This window comes from Homo sapiens, chromosome 6 (assembly GCF_000001405.40).
Source record: "Homo sapiens chromosome 6, GRCh38.p14 Primary Assembly".
NCBI lineage: Eukaryota > Metazoa > Chordata > Mammalia > Primates > Hominidae > Homo > Homo sapiens.
Window position 1 is genome coordinate 42,206,030 of NC_000006.12, and position 18,664 is coordinate 42,224,693.

General features: G+C 42.6%; 1 protein-coding gene across 9 annotated transcripts, besides 4 other annotated features; it reads right to left on the minus strand.

Moving 5' to 3' along the window:
• Nucleotides 1-777: 777 nt before the first annotated feature.
• MRPS10 (mitochondrial ribosomal protein S10) lies at nucleotides 778-11,832 on the minus strand. 9 transcript variants are annotated; one of them, XM_011514725.4, is made up of 8 exons: nucleotides 11,773-11,832; nucleotides 10,931-10,960; nucleotides 8,251-8,315; nucleotides 8,091-8,160; nucleotides 5,752-5,888; nucleotides 4,459-4,567; nucleotides 2,829-2,918; nucleotides 778-2,343 (listed from the first exon to the last, which is right to left on the minus strand). In XM_011514725.4, exons 1-8 carry the CDS (start codon nucleotides 11,818-11,820, stop codon nucleotides 2,260-2,262), a joined length of 633 nt encoding a protein of 210 aa, XP_011513027.1. In that variant the 5' UTR covers nucleotides 11,821-11,832; the 3' UTR covers nucleotides 778-2,259. The 9 variants fall into 9 exon arrangements, 8 of the variants coding, with proteins under 8 accessions (XP_011513027.1, NP_001423567.1, NP_001425135.1 ...); NM_001436638.1 differs by having other exon boundaries at nucleotides 8,091-8,163; NR_199179.1 differs by lacking the exon at nucleotides 10,931-10,960 and having other exon boundaries at nucleotides 8,091-8,189.
• Nucleotides 9,944-10,546: an enhancer, noted in NCBI's record as "H3K4me1 hESC enhancer chr6:42183711-42184313 (GRCh37/hg19 assembly coordinates)". NCBI's record gives its function as "activates a minimal SCP1, AML or CMV promoter by ChIP-STARR-seq in primed H9 embryonic stem cells {active_cell/tissue: H9 hESC(primed)}" and the evidence as "EXISTENCE:reporter gene assay evidence [ECO:0000049][PMID:30033119]".
• Nucleotides 10,547-11,148: an enhancer, noted in NCBI's record as "H3K4me1 hESC enhancer chr6:42184314-42184915 (GRCh37/hg19 assembly coordinates)". NCBI's record gives its function as "activates a minimal SCP1, AML or CMV promoter by ChIP-STARR-seq in primed H9 embryonic stem cells {active_cell/tissue: H9 hESC(primed)}" and the evidence as "EXISTENCE:reporter gene assay evidence [ECO:0000049][PMID:30033119]".
• Nucleotides 11,720-11,999: an enhancer, noted in NCBI's record as "active region_24543". NCBI's record gives its function as "activates an Ori minimal core promoter by ATAC-STARR-seq in GM12878 lymphoblastoid cells {active_cell/tissue: GM12878}" and the evidence as "EXISTENCE:reporter gene assay evidence [ECO:0000049][PMID:35858748]".
• Nucleotides 18,478-18,557: an enhancer, noted in NCBI's record as "active region_24544". NCBI's record gives its function as "activates an Ori minimal core promoter by ATAC-STARR-seq in GM12878 lymphoblastoid cells {active_cell/tissue: GM12878}" and the evidence as "EXISTENCE:reporter gene assay evidence [ECO:0000049][PMID:35858748]".

Below are 18,664 nucleotides of genomic sequence, written 5' to 3' on the forward strand. Positions count from 1 at the left end.
GCCAACATGGGGAAACCCCATCTCTACTAAAAATACAAAAATCAGCTGGGCGTGGTGGCACATGCCTGTAGTCCCAGCTACTTGGGAGGCTGAGGCAGGATAATCGCTTGAACCTGGGAGGCAGAGGTTGCAATGAGCCGAGATCGCGCCACTGCACTCCAGACCGGGTGACAGTGCAAGATTCCATCTCAAAAAAAAAAAAAAAAAAAGAAAGAAAAAGAAAAAAGAAATACTGCTAGTTTTTCTCACGTGCATGTGTGCACATGTAGTTCATTTGCTTATTTAAGCCGAGGTTTTAACACATAATTGGAAGTCCTAAACTAAGGACTTTGGTTTACATGGAGTGCTATGGTACAATCTCGGCTCACTGCAACATCCACCTCTTGGGTTCAAGCAATCCTCCTGCCTCAGCCTCCCAAGTAGCTGGGATTACAGGCGCCCACCACCATGACCAGCTAATTTTTGTGTTTTTAATAGAGATGGGGTTTTACCATGTTGGCCAGGCTGGTCTCGAACTCCTGACCTCAGGTGATCCACCTGCCTCAGCCTCTCAAAGTGCTGGGATTACAGGCTTGAGCCTCCACAACCGGCCGGGTCTATATTTATTTTTAAAGAATTACTTCAGATGAAAATGTGTCATAAATTGCTGCTTTGCTGCACATAGTTACCATTATGTTGCTCATGTTTTATTGACTAGTTCTTGATCTTCAAGTACTTATACCTGGTGTCAGTATGCTTTAGGCATTCATGAATGACAGTCAACAACTGAGCTGAAGGTCATGGGGCACAAAGCTGCAATTCTTTTAATGGTGATGACAGTAACGTAAGTCTGATACACAAGCAGTATGTATTCAACACACTGATACCTGATAGCATGTCAGGAAAAAAGAATAGGCAATGCAGTTTAAGGGGGGAAAAACTGAGAAGTCATAACTACTCCAAAGATGTGCAGGAAACCACAAAAGACATGGACCTGCTTCTACTATAAAAAGAAAATGAAGCACTTCTCTGGGGTTGCTATACCAACTGTTTCAGCCCATTGTAGTCTTGCCTCTTTCAGGGCTTTAGCCACTATTTCATTTCATGGAAAAGCAGACATCTCCTAACAAACAGAGTGACATTTACCAAAATAAAGAGGGCTTCTCAGTGAGAAGCTTAATAAAGAAAAATATTTACCTATGCTTTGCACAATTTTCTTTTTTTTTTTTTGAGACGGCGTCTCGCTCTGTCGCCAGGCTGGAGTGCAGTGGCGCGATCTCGTCTCACTGCAGCCTCCACCGGGCCCGGGTTCACGCAATTCTCCTGCCTCAGCCTCCTGAGTAGCTGGGATTACAGGCACGTGCCACCATGTCCAGCTAATTTTTGTATTTTTATTAGAGACGGGGTTTCACCGTGTTAGCCAGGATGGTCTGGATCTCTTGACCTCGTGATCCGCCTGCCTCGGCCTCCCAAAATGCTGGGATTACAGGCGTGAGCCACCGTGCCTGGCCTGCTTTGTGCGATTTTCAAAAGCCATTATTTCTATTCAATTTTGGGTACTTAACTACAGTGCTGGATGTAAAGTTTATGCAGTAAAAGCTTATTGAATGAATGAATCATAGGATAAATAATACAACTAGTAATTTCTTAAGATCATAAATTCCATTACAGTAACCCTGGTAGGCAACTCTATAAAGTTCTGGGCTCCAAGAAGAGGTCAGTGCATGCCATAAATGTGTTTGATCTGCTGTGAAGTATATTCAGTCTTCAAAATGTAATGCTTACATGAGATAAAATCGGTTGGTTACCACCCCCAAATTAGCATATGCCAGCCTGCACAAAGGTAAATAGCAAAAACTTTAACTGCTCAATCTGAATTAACCAAAGATTCCTTCTAGGAATCTTAAAAAAAAATAAGGGTACGAACACTCCAAGCACTTATTTTCAGATGCATCAACTGACATAAATTAAAAATGGTACAAACTAATAATTGAACACCAGTAGCGTAACAAAATAGAATTTTCACTCTTTCTGCTTTCAGTCAAAGTGGTTTGCTCATGTTTGCTGAAATCAGAACTGAAACAATGAATAAAAAGAATAGATAAAAGTGGTTCTTCCATTAAAGTTCCATTCCCTGCCCTCAGCTGATGAGGGCACGAGAACTCAATGGAGCAGTTAGGGCAGACTCAAATCATCTCAGCTGGAAGCACTCTCCACTTAAACATACTCATCTGGCCCACCCTCATTTCAAATTTAGGCAAAAATGGCCTCCCTGAGGCTTTATGACTTGCTTTCTTCTTTTTCTTCTGATAGTGTTTCCCAGATTGGCTCCTTGATGTGTTCTGGTAACTGTTCTAATTGTGTCTAAAAAAAGAAAGAAACAAAACTATAATGTGGATTTAACAGAACTCTTTGACTACAAATCGGACTTATTAATTTGGTCAAATCCTCTTTACTTCTTTTTCTTTTATCCCCCTAGTCTTTCTATAGGGTTTTGAAATGGAAAGAAGGAAACTTGATGGTCTATAAAACACTCTCACATACATAATCGATTTGATCCTCAATGATCTTCATGGATTGCCACTTAATGGGATCCCCAGGTCTAGACAACTCATATTGAGGAGGGAGAACTTCATAGGTGGTTCACGGAGGACTTGGGCTGAAATGGCAGGATTCTGTTGCAAGGGGTGGGTAGCCCCCAACCGCTGTGGCAACTGTGTCTCCCAGTTTGCCACAGTTTAGGGCAAACTCTACTCAGTGGGCCAGGACCAGGCTGCAATGTATCAAAACAACAATACAGATACCACTCCCCACCGCCCCACCGAAAGAGGCAGAAATTCAAGCTATACCTTTGTTACTTCCATGGCAACCCCTTCAGGTAAGTTTCGCTGAATATATTCCAAGTAGACATCTGCTGTGCTTCCAGTTAGATGTTCTAACTAAAACATCAAACATGAAAATGTTTCATGTAAGCTGTTTGTTAAAGCACGGTTTTTTGTTTTTTTTTTTGAGATGGAGTCTCACTCTGTTGCCTGGGCTGGAGTGTGTGCAATCTCAGCTCACTGCAACCTCTGCCTCCTGGGTTCAAGCCATCTCCTGCTTCAGTCCCCCGAGTGGCTGGGACTACAGGTGTGTGCCACCATGTCCAGCTAATTTTTTTTGTATTTTTAGTAGAGACGGGGTTTCATCATGTTGGCCAGGCTGGCCTCAAACTCCTGACCTCAAGTGATCCGCCTGCCTTGGCCTCCCAAAGTGCTAGGATTACAGGCATGAGCTACCGCACCTGGCCTCCCCTAAAGAATCTAACATAAAATCCCAGGCTCACAAAACAACTGAAGACAAAAGGACTAAATTATAAGATATAGTTAATATAAGATTTTCTGTGTGTACTATGAGAGACGTTTCCCTCAGACAAAGATGGATAAAATTTGGGTTTTTCTTTTTAAGAGTAGGGACTGCGCAGGCACAGTGGCTCACACCTGTAATCCCAGCACTTTGGGAGGCCGAGGTGGGTGGAGCACCTGAGGTCAGGAGTTCAAGACCAGCCTGACCAATATGGTAAAACCCCATCTCTACTAAAAATACAAAAATTAGCCAGGCGCGGTGGCGTACACCTGTAGTCCCAGCTACTAGCGAGGCTGAGACAGAATTGCTTGAACCCGGAAGGCAGAGGTTACAGTGAGCCTAGATTGTGCCACTGCACTCCAGCCTAGGTGGTGACAGAGTGAGACTCTATCTCAAAAAAAAAAAAAAAAAAAAAAAAAAAAAAGAGTAGGGACCATGACTTTATTATATTTGTGCCCTCAATGACTAGTACAGTACTTCCCATATAAAAGATACATAAGTGCTTGTTTTAATATTTACCAATCACTTACTATGTGATCAAAGTATTCTGAGTGCTTACATAAATTTTCCATTCTAATCCTCACACTAACCTTATGAGATGGGTACCACTATTATTCCCATTTTATAGATGAAGGAATAGAGGTACATGTCACACAGCTGTTAAGAGACAGGACCTGGATTCTGGCATTGGCAGTCTGACTCCAGAACCTATGCTCTCCTTAAGCACACGACTGTGCTGGCACTAATGGAAGCACAAATGAGTAACAGATGAATGAAAAACCTAATGCTGTGCATCACTGACATGGAAAATCCAGCTAGTATGTGAAACAGTTATTAGAACTGTGTAAAAACTTCACTAGAATTTTTGAAATATGAGCAAAATTATTCCAATGCTATCTTTGCATAATCTGCATTCCTGAGTTAAGGTATGCACTACTCTAAAGGATTGCTTTATTTGCATTTACTTTTCCTACCATGACACTTCCATAAACACTAAAAGATATTTACCTTCTGTACAACCAACAGACATGGGCTTGCTGAAAGAAGTCAATCTAGTCAATGTTAAAGTAAAGTTATATGCTAGTGTGAATTTTTGGTATTTCAAAAATGCCAGAATTTCTCAAATACACTCACCTCTAAACATCTGTAAAGTGTTCTCATTTCATACTGAACTCTGTGCTTCTTGTAAATATGCACTGATTGGAGAAGAGTAAATCGCTCTATTTTCCTTGGAGGTTCATGTCTGAAATTAATGGACAAAACAAAACCTGAGTCACTATGATAACAAAGCATAATTCCATAATTTTGTAGGTCAGACTCACACTCAATTATAGGCATTAACTACCATTTACAGACTTCCATTTGCCAAAACTGTCATCTGGAACAACAACTGCTATCATAAAACTCAAGCCAAAATAAACACTGCAGACAGCAATAGAAACTTTTTCCCACAGGCTCAAAAATAAGCCCTGGCATGTCAAGTGTGCAAGCATACACACACACCTGCTGCTTTTACACCCTTTAGTCTTTTATTGACCAAATATATTAATTGTGAAGAGCAGCACCAGTGTGGTAGACATAGTTGTAACACCTGCTGTATGTCTGTTGTTTTAGGAAAATCTACAGATAAATCAAAATAACAAAACTATAGTCTGTTTTGGGAAACCGTGGCCTTCTGTTTTTGTCAGAAGGCCAGACTGCCAAAGCCCCAGATGGGGCCTCGTTCAACAGCAGAAGGAGCAGATGACAAGACAAAGGAGACAGTTATGCTTGACCCTGCAGTGACTCCAAGGCTTACCTTGTTCAAGCAAGAAATTACTGGGTAAGTGGTGTTTCTTAGGGAAGATTTGAAATGATGGATGTATTAGCCAAAAATCATCACATCCAAAGGGTCTAAAACGATTGTTCATTCACCTACTCTACCTCCCTGCTCCATGGAGATCCCAGAAACATGGCAGGAAGGCATGATCCTGATTAGGATAACATATGACAAACTTAAGCTCTACCCACCAAGAGTTTCTATCCCACTTTAAGAGCTCAGACTGGGCCAGGTGCAGTGGCTCACGCCTGTAATCCCAGCACTTTGGGAAGCTGAGGCGGGCAATTTGCCTGAGCTCAGGAGTTCGAGACCAGCCTGGGCAACACAGTGAAACCCCATCTCTACTAAAATACAAAAAATTAGCCAGGCGTGGTGGCATGCGCCTGTAGTCCCAGCTATTCGGGAGGCTGAGAACTGCTTGAACCCAGGAGGCAGAGGTTGCAGTGAGCTGAGGTTGTGCCACTGTACTCCAGCCTGGGCAACAGAGCGAGACTCTGTCTCAAAAAAAAAAAAAAAAAAGAGTTCAGACCTTCCTGGGATGAGCACTATTTTCCTGGTTGATCATATTACAGCAGCGAACAGGTCGGGTCAGGAAAGGCCATACTCACACTTTAATAGAGATACCAAGTTCTTTAGCAGCAAGCACAGCAAAATATTCATAACTGTCCAATACAGCCTTATCGTGACCTTTCACCAAAACCGAGAGGCGCTTATATAATATGTCTGGTTCATCAGAGATTGTTACCTAAAATCCAAAAGAAAAGTTTCAGTTTTAGTTCCTCTTCTATTTCTAACTAGCAAATTTAAAACATTAGCCTCAATTGAACAACTTCAGAGTTTACTAATAAATGAGGAGAAAAACACTGAGTGACGGCAGTGTTAGCTGAAGTGTCTAGATACTTTCATGTTCAGATCTGGACTATGAGCCTCAGAATCTGTTAAAATACAGTGTAAATGAAAAGAATTTTCAAGGCAACCCACAAAATTACTAAAGGAACTTTCCAACTTAAAATAACGATTCAGCTTCAAATTCACAATGAAAAAGGACTCCAGGGTCTGCTAGTAAAGAGCCTGGGCAGAAGACTTGGATTGAGGATTAAGCTCTGCTAATGGTAGCTGAATGACAACGGACAAATCATATCGTCTCACTGCACATTAGTTTCCTCACATATGAAAGAGGGTAAACCTATGCTATTGCTCATAGTATTTCTCTAAGAAAAAAATAAGAAAACACAGATTAAAGTGCTTATTAATTATAAAACATTATTATACAAAGCCAAGTTAGTTCTATTCATATTTTTTATTAGGTTTTATTCGCGTATGTTTTGTCTGCCCTAATAAACAAATTACTCATTTCTAATTTAAATGATATGACACTGACTATACCTATAACTTCAACCTCTTCCACCCTAATACCTAAAGACCTTAGAAATAATGGGTTTGACATTTTTGACTTTCTTCCAAAAGGTGAATTACCTTCATTTCATTCATCCGTTAAACCAGTAAATTATACTACTAATCCAATGATTCAGAGTTAAATCACTTCACTCCTGAAAGATTTACTTACTAGCCAGAAAGCTAGATATCCACTCTCAATTACTCCAAAAAGGGTTGTTGGAAGAACAGAATATACTGATAGCCTGTGTCCTAAGTTGAGGGATGAGAAGGGGGAATATAGCCTCAAGATGTGTTCTGACTGATCCCTACAGGGTGTTAAAAGATACTTTGAATTTGTTAGGAATATTAAAAATCAGAAGATTTCACAAGAAAATCTGGATTTCAGTTTAGCTTGGAAGATTTAGACAGGCTGGCATCACTAGGTCTGATTTCCCACAGGGCAACAAGTGGCTAGAATAAGTAGCTGCTGTCTTGCTTATAAAGACAGTGGCACACCATGCCAATTCTGCCACCTTTTCTTATAGGCCTGGCTCCTGCAGGCATGTGAGTTGCAGACTGGGGCTTAAATGTACTATCATAGAAATACATCCAGTACTGGCCAGGTGTGGTGGCTCATGCCTGTAATCCCAGCACTTTGGGAGGCTGAGGCAGGCAGATCACTTGAGGCCAGGAATTTGAGACCAGCCTGGCCAACATGGGAAAACCCCATTTCTACTAAGAATACAAAAATTAGCCAGGCATGGTGGTGTGTGCCTGTAATCCCAGCTAGTCGGGAGGCTAAGGCATGAGAACTACTTGAACCCAGGAGGCTGAGGTGAGGTGAGCCGAGATCATGCCACTGCACTCCAGCCTGGGTGACAGAGCGAGACTCTGTCTCAAAATAAATAAATAAATAAATATCCAATATCTATTAAGAGAAAAGTTAGAAAAGAGCAGTAAACTAGACATGTGCACAGACAAAGTGAGTACCTACAGACAAATGTCTAGAACTGTAATCCCAAACTGTTAAAGGGGGTTATTTTTGAGGGGTGGAAATGAAAGGATTTTTAAAAATTACAAGTAACACAAAAAACTGGATTGATGAAATCATAGCTTCTACAGGGTTACCAAGTTCCTTCTAGATGTTTATTATTTGTGCTAACGCATTTTCTCACTGTGAACAATAAAGCACTGTCCAGGCCCAGGCTCAATACACAAAATGAAAACAAAGACTTGAAGGCTACAAGAAAAATACTTTTCCATAACATAAATCAAGTATTCTACATCACAAATTCTGACAACTCTTCCATTATGCCAAGCTAAAAGCAAGAGACTACTAATTAACACAGTTATTTGGGGGTAAATAATTTATTCCTTTAGAACTTACTTTGATACCCTGAAGACAATATAATCCAGGGAGTTAAGAGAATATATGCGTTGTGCATTTGCCAGTATTCTAGGACAAAATTTTTTTATTCATAGAGTGTTTGGGGAAAAAAAACCCAATGAAATAATAAGGAAAACCTATTGCCAAGGTAGCTCCTTATACCAAGAAACAGGGAGTACATACCACAGGTTTGGTCAAATCCTTTGGAACATCAACGTGTAGGTTTGAAAACTGTACCCACTTCATATTGGTACTGCTATGTGTGGGGAAAAAAAGAGAAACCTAAGTAAAATAGCACAAGAACCTATTTTGTTCAATTTAGCACATCCAATTGTATACTTACAGAAGCAAGCCACCATTTTTGGCTGTATTGCCCTTAGAAGTGTTTACAGAAAAATTCCCCAATCCCTAAAGAAAAAAAAAGTAGGACATGTGTTAGAATTAAAGTCAACTACCAAACCATTCATAATTTCCACTAAAAACTAAAAGGTTACCTCATTATTTCAGACGAAGATACTGGGGTAACTAAAATGGCCAAATTAGATTGAAAAAAAAAAGAGGACAATGGTAGAGCTGATGATAAAAAAAAAAGCAGTCTCAAAATACTAGAGAATCTCTATTTTAAAGATTAGGAATAAAAACTTTTTCAAAAAAAACAATTCTCACATTTAAAAAAAGCTATGAATTATGTGGACATCAAGAAAAAATGTGACTTCATTTTCCCATTATTTTTTACAAATTAATTGTACTTCAGTATAATACTTATTTTGCCTGAATATCTTTAAGCAATAAAATATATTGTTTTTATAATTTGTTAAGAGTTGGAATAAAAATTCTGAAGTATCCCTCTTTTGATGCTTTCATACATCTTTTAAAGCATACATATTTCTTAGCTTGGCTGGGATAACTAGCTTATAATGAACTGAAATATGTGCTGTGACTTATACCCATCATTAACTACTGTGCCACATGCTACAACGAACCCACATTTCCAAATCCTTTACCATCAGCTCCCCCTGGTGGAACAAGACTTTCCAGTTTTAGGAAACAAACGATACTACTACATATAACAGCTGTTTTTTCCTTTCAACTTTTCTGAGATTTTGAAGTGTAACCTGAGAAAGTGGAAACACAATAGAATCCTTAAAAACACAATGAAGATGAAAATAAGGCCAGGTGCCGTGGCTCACACCTGTAATCCCAGCACTTTGGGAGGCCAAGGTGGGTGGATCACTTGTAGTCAGGAGTTCCAGAGCAGCCTGGCCAACATGGTGAAACCCTGTCTCTACTAAAAATACAAAAATTAGCCAGGCATGGTGGCGGTGCGGTTGTGATCCTAGTTACTTGGGAGGCTGAGGCAGGAGAATCGCTTGAACCCGGGAGGCGGAGGTCCAGGCTGGGTGACAGAGCGAGACTCCCTCTCAAAAAAAAAAAAAGAAGTTTAGCATAAGTGAAGTTTCATTAATACAAATGATTGTCACCTAAGTACGTTTTTGTTTGTTTTTTCAGGGTTTTTTTGAGACAAGGTCTCACTCTGTTATCCAGGCTGGAGTGCAGTTGCATGATCATGGCCTGGACCTCCCAGGTTCAGGTGGTCCTCCCACCCCAGTCTCCCAGATAGCTGGGACTACAGGCACGGGCCACCAGGCCCAGCTAATATTTTGTACTTTTGTAGAGATGGGGTTTCACCATATTTCCCAGGCTGGTCTTGAACTCGTGGGCTCAAGCGATCCTCCAGCCTCAGTGTCCCAAAGTGCTGGGATTTCAGGAGTGAACCACCACCTAGCCACGTTTTAAAAGCCTATTCTTAGCTTATTGTCCTTCCTCTCCTTACCCAAGATAGAGACAAATCATAACTCTATAATCTTCTTTGCACCAAAGGGGAAAAGGAAAAAGGAAATCAGGTACAACACAAAGTGGTAAGAGGTATGTGCCATTCTTCAGACAAAATTGCATAGAAAATTCCCTCCCAACAATTACACCAGTGACCCCACAATCGAGTTGTGCAAGAGGAGCAAGAATATTACACTTCTCAGTCACATTCTCCCACTATAAACCTCTGCTTTTTCTTTTCTTTTTTTTTTCTTTTCTTTTTTTTTTTTTTTTTGAGAGAGTCTTGCTCTGTCGCCCAGGCTGGAGTACAGTGGAGCATTCTCAGCTCACTGAAACCTCCGCCTCCTGGGTTCAAGCAAGTCTCCTGCCTTAGCCTCCTGAGTAGGTGGGATTACAGGGGCCCACCGCCACACTCAGCTAATTTTTGTATTTTTAGTAGAGACGGAGTTTTGCCATGTTAGCCAGGATGGTCTTGATCTCCTGATCTCGTGATCCGCCCACCTCGGCCTCCCAAAGTGTAGGGATTACAGGCGTGAGCCACCGTGCCCGGCCAAGAAGTTTTTAAATTGCATTTTTTCTTTGTATTTCTTGAGAGAGAGAGAGAGAGAGAGAGAGAGTGTGTGTGTGTGTGTGTGTGTGTGTGTTGGGGGAGTGGTGGTTTGGAAGGGAGGGCTGTCTGGGTAAATTTGTCTTAATAAAGCAGTTCAAAAATTTCAATCTCTAATACCATCTGACTTTTCTCAAGAACAGTGGTTTTCAGGCCGGGTGCGGTGGCTCAAGGCTGTAATCCCAGCACTTTGGGAGGCCGAGGCTGCCGGATCACTTGAGGTCAGGAGTTCGAGACCAGCCTGACCGACATGGTGAAACCCCGTCTCTGCTAAACATACAAATACTAGCTGGGCATGGTGACGCATGACTGTAATTCCAGCTGCTCGGGAGGCTGAGGTAGGAGAATCACTTGAACCCGGGAGGTGGAGGCTGTAGTGAGCCGAGATCGTGCCATTGCGCTCCAGCTTGGGCGACAAGAGCGAAACTCCGTCTCCAAACAAAAACAAAAACAAAAACGGTGGTCTCAAAGTGTAGTCTGAGGACGTCTGTGGGGTCTGAGACACTTTCAGGGGATCCGGGAAATCAAAACTATTTTCATAAAACCAAAACGTCATTTACAACTTTTCCACTCATTCTCTTACCAGTGTACAGTGAAGTTTTCCCGTGACAGCCTGAGGTGTGATATAGGAAAAGATTAAATACAGAAGCAGATTTGAATCTAGCTTTTATTAAGCCAGAAATTAAAGAGAGCTGCAAAAATGTAAAACATTGCTGCTCCTTACTCAGTTTGTTCAGAAAATATATTTTTCATAAAGTATTAGTTGTAACATGTAATGAGTTAGTGTTACTTTTAAATCAATATATATTCTTAAGTTTTATTTTCCAAAAAGCTAAATATAGATAGCAAAAACCCACAAAAACAAAAGCTCTCTGGAGTCCTGAACTCCGAAAGTGTAAAGTGGTCCCAAGGCCAAAAAGCAGGAGAACCGCTGCTGAAAAGTTTTTGCTCCTCCTGCAAATAACTGCGCAGAGGATATCTAACCCACTTCTCTGGCTTGAGACCTTCATCTAAATTTGGATGCCAGGAAAGCATCTCAATTTAGTTCCATGGGAAGAGTCTGATATCTTGCACCAGCTCAGCCTCTAATTTTCGCGAGGCAAATTTCCTGTCTTCTCTGAGCCTCAGTTTATTTTGCAAGCGTGAAAGGAGGGGTTTTGGAACATACGAAGTACAAAATCTTTTCCAGCTCTGACATTCTACGATTATTCTTGTTCCTATCTTTGCCTGGACTCACTAACTTATATTTAATTCCATGAGAGAATTCTGATAAAACTAGCCCCTTTCTCGTCACTTTCCTGTAAACGGCGCGAGGTGAGGGATAAATATCAGGAAAAATCCTGATGGGCAGAGCGGCTGGTGGCAGGGAAACTTAAAAGCAACTATCCCGGTCAGCCCTCCTAGTCTCCCTAGCCAATCCAGTACCTGCCAGAGGCGCCGGCACACAGCACCGAACGCTGTCCGCGCCGCCATCTTGCCGGTCCCGACCTCTCAGGATTGCTTCCGGGGTTACAGCGGCGTCCTCAGACCATAGAGTTCCGCAAAAGAAGAGAGTACATCCTCATGTTCCGGCGCTGGAACAACCATAGAGACATGAACCTGTGCTTTTTGGGGGCGGGACAGTTGGCTGGCCAGGCTGGTTTGGCTCCGGCCAGTGTCTGGATAGTTACCAAGCCCTATTAATGTTTTCACCTTTAAATTGTTGTGTGTGTATACACACACACACACACACACATTTATTTATTTACTTATTTTTTCCTTTTAGAGACTGAGTCTCACTCGGCTGCCCAGGCTGGAGTGCAGTGGCACAGTCATAGCTCACTGCAGCCTCAAACTCCTGCCTCAAGTGATCCTCCTGCCTCAGCCTCCCAAGTAGCTGGACTACAAGTGCGTGCCACCACAGCCGACTAATTTTTTGTTTTTTTTTTTAATTTTCTTGTAGAGACAGGGTCTCATTATATTGCTCTCGTTATTTTGTGGGCTGGTCTTGAATTCCTGTCCTCAAGTGATCCTCTGGCCTTGGCCTCCCAAAGGACTGAGATTACAGGCATGAACCACAAAGCCCGGACTGAAACTAGTGTATTGACACCATTTACTTCAGTACTGGAATAATGGGTGATTTATTTTCCTATTTTTGCATTTTTCAATTTTTTTTGCATTTTTCAAAATTTTAACAAAATCTATATTTAACAAGAAAAAGAAAAGTCGGCCACTACCATTGGGTCCAGTTGCCACTCAGTTACCTTATTGCAGCGGCTTTCTAATTATGGTTCTTAATCCTTTCTTCCTTCCCCACACCAATTGGAATTCCTGTGCTCCAACCATTTTGTATACCGCTGTCCTACTGATCTTTCTAAATTATTCATTTCCTTATGTTACTCTAGTATTTAGGAATTTACAATGGCTAGCTTCACTTACAACAAGCCAAAGTGTTTTGTCTAATTATTAATGTCCACCATAATTTTTTCCAAGTAAAAAGATGTATAACTGGGATTTGCTATAATAAAAACTTCTTCAGGCTGGGTGCGGTGGCTCACGCCTGTAATCCCAGCACTTTGGGAGGCTGAGGTGGGCGGATCACCTGAGGTCAGGAGTTCGAGACCAGCCTGGCCAACATGGTGAAACCCCATCTCTACTAAAAATACAAAAAATTAGTGGGGTGTCATCGTTGTGTGCCTGTAGTCCCAGCTACTCAGGAGGCTGAGGCACGAGAATTGCTTGAACCCGGGAAGTGGAGGTTGCAGTGAGGCAAGATCGTGCCACTGCACTCCAGCCTGGGAGACACAATGAGACTCTGTCTAAAAAAAAAAAAAAAAAAAGAAAAGAAAAGAAAAGGCCAGGTGCAGTGGCTCGGCTCACACCTGTAATTCCAGCACTCAGCACTTTGGGAGGCCAAGGCGGGTGGATCACCTGACGTCAGAAGTTCAAGATCAGCCTGGCCAACATGGCAAAACCCTGTCTCTACTAAAAATACAAAGTCAGGCATGGTGGTGTGCACCTGTAATCCCAGCTATTTGGGAGGCTGAGGCAGGAGAATCTCTTGAACCCGGGAGGCAGAGAGTGCAGTGAGCCGAGATTGAGATTGTACCACTGCACTCCAGTCTAGGGAACAGAGCGAGACTCCGTCTCCAAAAAAAAAACTTATTCCATTTGTGCAAATCTTTAAAAATTTATTTTTATTTTTCCTTTTACTTTCTCCTCATCTTAAAGTCTGCTTCTATAATACTATATTGTCTTTTTTGTGTGTGTGTGTGAGACAGTGTCTCGCTCTGTTGCCCAGGCTGGAGAGCACTGGCTTGATCATAGCCCACTGCAGCCTCAAACTCCTGGGGTTAAGTGATCCTCACACCACAGCCTCTGGAGTATCTAAAACTACAGGTGTTTGCGACCATTTTTTATTTTATTTTTATTGTTTTGTAGAGACAGAGACTTGCTATGTTGCCCAGGCTGGTCTCAAACTCCTGGCTTCCAGCAATCCTCTCACCTTGGCCTCCCAAAGTGCTGGTTTTACAGGTATGAGCCACTGCACTTGGCCCATTTGTTCACATTTCTAAGCTTTATTTCCCCAAAGTGCTTTCACATATGCATTTTAGCCTAATGGAAAACTCTAGCCTTATAATCAGATCTGGTTTCTAATCCCAGGCTTACCAGTTAGTTGAGTGACTTTGAGCAAGTTACTTCCTTACCCTCAGCCTCAGTTTGCTCATATGTCAAAAAAAAAAAAAAAAAAAAGATAACAGTAGTTCCTGCTTCCAATAGTTGCTTGGGAATTCAATGCAATACCAATATATGGTGTTTAGTACAATACTGCCATGTAATGATACACTATAGATGTCATCCACTATTTGTGCCATTAAGTTTCTACCTCACCTGCCTCACAAGGTTGTTGAGAAGATTAAAAATAAAAAGATCAAGTTTATGAGAATATTTTATAGCATCCAAATAAAGAACTGTACAAATATAAAGTTGTTTTTTTTTTCTCCCCACAAATAGTTATTACTACCCTATTTTGCAGGCAAGAGAACCAAAGAAGAGGCAGAATGATTTGCCCAACATCACACCTATCTAGGAGATAGAAAAGGTCTAGGAGCAGAAACCAGTTTTCCTGCCCCTCAGGCTGGCCTCTGTTTACTAGAATTCAGTCCGTGTTGAGGTGTGGCAGAGATTCCAGTGTGGCCTTGCAACAGGGTATGGAAACAGCACACTTCACCTGTGTGCACTTCTTATTTATTTATTTTTGAGACGGAGTTTCACTCTTGTTGCCCAGCCTGGAGTGCAATGGCATGACCCTGGCTCACTGCAACCTCCACCTCCTGGGTTCAAGTGATTCTCCTACCTCAGCCTCCTGAGTAGCTGGGATTACAGGCATGCGCCACCACGCCCAGCTAATTTTTGTATTTTTAGTAGAGACGGAGTTTCTCCATGTTGACCAGGCTGGTCTCAATCTCTTGACCTCCTGATCCGCCCACCTTGGCCTCCCAAAGTGCTGGGATTACAGGCTTGAGCCACCACACCCGGCCTCACCTGTGTGCCCTTCTGCTGGACTCGGTGATGCCCCATGTTGGCAGGTTGCCCAGTGCCCTTCTCAGAATCAGTCTCTCTCTCTGAATTGTGACACTTAAGGGGATTTCTCTCAGCCAATGGGGTTTTCCAACAGCCTCCCCACTCCCAACTCTGTTCCTGCTTCCAAAGTTTGCATCGGTTTGTCCAAATGGCACTTCCGTGAGGCCCTTCACCCTGCCTCTGTCCCCTTTGAGTAGCCTCAGCTGGGTGAGTGTTCTGCAACTATAGTGCTTGCAAACGACTTTCACCTAAGTTACCTACTCTGATCCACACCAGAAGACATGGATTTTATCCTCATTTTATAGATGAGGAACCCAAGGTGAAATGACTCACTCAGGGTCATATGGTAAGTTAGTTACAGCTAAACCAATAACCATCTTAAAAGCAGTGCCTTTTCTACCTCTGCAGTGGGCTGGTGCTGATTCTATGATGAGGTTCGGTTCTATTTAAATCTCTTGGATAATAGGACTAGAAATACCCACCACCCTAGCACCACTCCAAAAGAAATAGGGGCTTATTTTTAAAGACCTGTGTGGTCTGGACAGCTCCTGGAACTGGAAAGGTATGCTTTAAACAGTCTTAGGGACTGGATACCCTCTTCACTCCTGAGGCCAAATGTGTTCTTTTTAATGATGGGCTTTCACTGCTTACCAATAGTTTCTGCTCCCTCAGGACTCTGCATGGCCACTGCTCTCTGCTTTTGGCTCATCAAGTTTCTCCATTCATACTCTCAAATGTGGAAATTTGATTTGGTTCTCTCATCTTCCTGGGCTGAGCCAAATGTGTCACCACACGGCCTAGGGGCCTAATGGTTTGGGATCAAGTGCCGACTTGCTAGGGCCTAGGTAGAACTCATTGTAAGGGGCAACATCAGGTTTTGCCCAGAGTAGGGCTGTGAACAGTGCTCTTTGGCATGAGGTGTGGGCAGGGACAGCGTTCTGAAGCTTGGCCTATCCGTTAAGGGTCTCTTTCCTACAGCCTAAACTTCCAGACACCCAACCTCATGTAGAGGAGCAGGAGTCCAATGATTCTAGATAGTTGATGCAAGTAAACCTTGCTTTATGTCCAGAAAAAATAAACATAGATACATCAAATATTTTACAGTTAATCATATTTTGATTGTGCCAGTTGTTCTGTTTTTAAAGACAGTCCTTTCCAAAAGATCCTCTCGTACATAAAGGAAGTAATCAGCTCTTTGGCTCCTTTTTTTATATTTATTTTTATTATTATTGTTTTTTTGAGACACAGTTTCACTCCTGTTGCCCAGGCTGGAGTGCAATGGCTTGATCTCGGTTCACTGCAACCTCTGCCTCTTGGGTCCAAGGGATTCTCCTGCCTCAGCCTCCCGAGTAGCTGGGATTACAGGCATGCGCCATTATGCCTGGCTAATTTTTGTATTTTTAGTAGAGACAGGGTTTCTCCATGTTGGTCAGGCTGGTCTCAAACTCCTGACCTCAGGTGATCTACCCGCCGCGGCCTCCCGAAGTGCTGGGATTACAGGAGTGAGCCATCACGACTGGCCCTTTGGCTCCTTTACACAGGGATATCTACAATTCAAAGATCACTTATGGTTCTCTTAGGAATATATTATTCAATTTCTTAAAATGTCTTCCTAATTATGCTTTGCTGTGTCAACATGAACTCTCATCCACATTCCTAGAGCACATCTCAGCTCGCTGGCGGTGGCTGAGGATGGTAGATAGGGAGTAAATGGAATTCAGGATTTACACACACATTCTCTCTCTGCCAAATGCACACATGGATGAGCGTACCTGGAGGACTGGCGAGTTAACTCATTGAACAAATAGTTGCTGAGCACCCGCTATAAATTGCTGTGTACATGTGGGTGATGGTGAGAGGATTCCGAATATTGATAGGTCTCTTCTCAATCCTGGAATTGAATCTGTTCCAAGGCCCCCATATGTCTTTCTAGGTATTAAATTCCTTGGCAGGAAGGAATCATGTACAGCCATCTTTATACACTCTCCTCCCCCTGTATAATACAGTATGGAATAATGGTGGCTCATGAGGATCGACTGACTGAATAAAAGTAGAAAAAAATCTTCCAATTAGGCCTCCAGAAGTAGACTTTAAATTTACAGCACTGGCTAAGGCACACAGTTTCTAGAGGAATAGCTATTTTATTTGGTATAGGTTGTCTAAAGTAAACAGCTAAAATTAAAGTCAAAAACCAAAAAAGGCCAGGCGCAGTGGCTCACACCTGTAATCTCAGCACTTTGGGAGGCCAAGGTGGGTGGATCATGAGGTCAGGAGATCCAGGCCATCCTGGCTAACACGGTGAAACCCATCTCTACTAAAAAAAAAAAAAAAAAAAAAAAAAAATTAACCAGGCGTGGTGGTCTGTAGTCCCAGCTACTCGGGAGGCTGAGGCAGGAGAATCCCTTGAACTCGGGAGGTGGAGGTTGCAGTGAGCCCAAATCGCGCCACTGCACTCCAGCCTGAGCGACAGTGAGACTCCGTCTCAAAAACAAAAAAAATCCAAAAGAGGCCAGGTGCAGTGGCTCATGTCTATAATCCTAGCACTTCAGGAGGCCAAGGCAGAAGGATTGCTTGAGGCCAGGAGATCAACATCAGCCTGGCCAACATAGTGAGACCCTGTCTCTATTAGTTTAAAAACAACAACAACCCCCCTTCCCCACCCCCCCCACCCTCCAAAAGAATCTAGATCAAGGTCTTGAATAGGCATTCCCCACTTAAAGCAAATTTATTTTTGTAAAATTCTGTAAACTTCTGTATGAAATCCAGAATTTGAAAGTTCTTCTATAGTTTTCTGTTGACCATGAAAAGTAAACATACATCACGCCTGTAATCCCAGCACTTTGGGAGGCCGAGGCGGGTGGATCATGAGGTCAGGAGATCGAGACCATCCTGGCTAACAAGGTGAAATCCCGTCCCTACTAAAAATACAAAAAATTAGCCAGGGTGTGGTGGCGGGCGCCTGTAGTCCCAGCTACTCGGGAGGCTGAGGCAGGAGAATGGCATCAACCCGGGAGGCAGAGCTTGCAGTGAGCTGAGATCACACCACTGCACTCCAGCCTGGGTGACAGAGGGAGACTCTGTCTCAAAAAAAAAAAAAAAAAAAAGTAAACATACAGCCAGGTGCAGTGGCTCACACCTGTAATCCCAGCACTTTGGAAGGCCGAGGCGGGCCTCAGACGGATCTCTTGAGGCCAGGGGTTCGAGACCAGCCTGGCTAACATGGCGAAACCTCGCCTCTAATAAAATACAAAAATTAGCCAGGTGTGGTGGTGCATGACCTGTATAGTCCCAGCTACTTGGGAGGCTGACCCGTGAGAATTGCTTGAACCCAGGAGTGGAGGCTTCAGTGAGCTGAGATCATGCCACTGCACTCCAGGCTGGGGAACAAAGCAAGGCTCTGTCTCAAAAAAAAAAAAGTAAACATACTTACTCAAATTTGAAAATGCAGGTTTAAAATGCAAATAAATCGGGGTGGACTTAGAGGAGCTGACCCGTGAGAATTGCTTGAACCCAGGAGTGGAGGCTTCAGTGAGCCAAGATCGTGCCACTGCACTCCAGGCTGGGGAACAAAGCAAGACTGTCAAAAAAAAAAAAGTAAACTTACTTACTCAAATTTGGAAATTCAGATTTAAAATGCAAATAAATCGGGGTGGACTTAAGACTTTGTGGAGGATTTAGTGTAAGACACCTGTATGTCACAGTGTGCTCCCTTGAATCACAGTTTGAGTCATAAGGTTTATGACTCAGTTTGAGT

Bases quoted from the DNA above. Each gene is read 5' to 3' on its own strand.
- MRPS10 (NM_001436638.1), bottom strand. From the start codon at position 11,820: ATGGCGGCGCGGACAGCGTTCGGTGCTGTGTGCCGGCGCCTCTGGCAG. The intron at 10,961-11,772 runs GTACTGGATTGG...ATCACACCTCAG, and splicing joins TGTGCCGGCGCCTCTGGCAG to GCTGTCACGGGAAAACTTCA. The intron at 8,164-8,250 runs GTAAGTATACAA...CCCCACACATAG, and splicing joins AAAAATGGTGGCTTGCTTCT to CAGTACCAATATGAAGTGGG.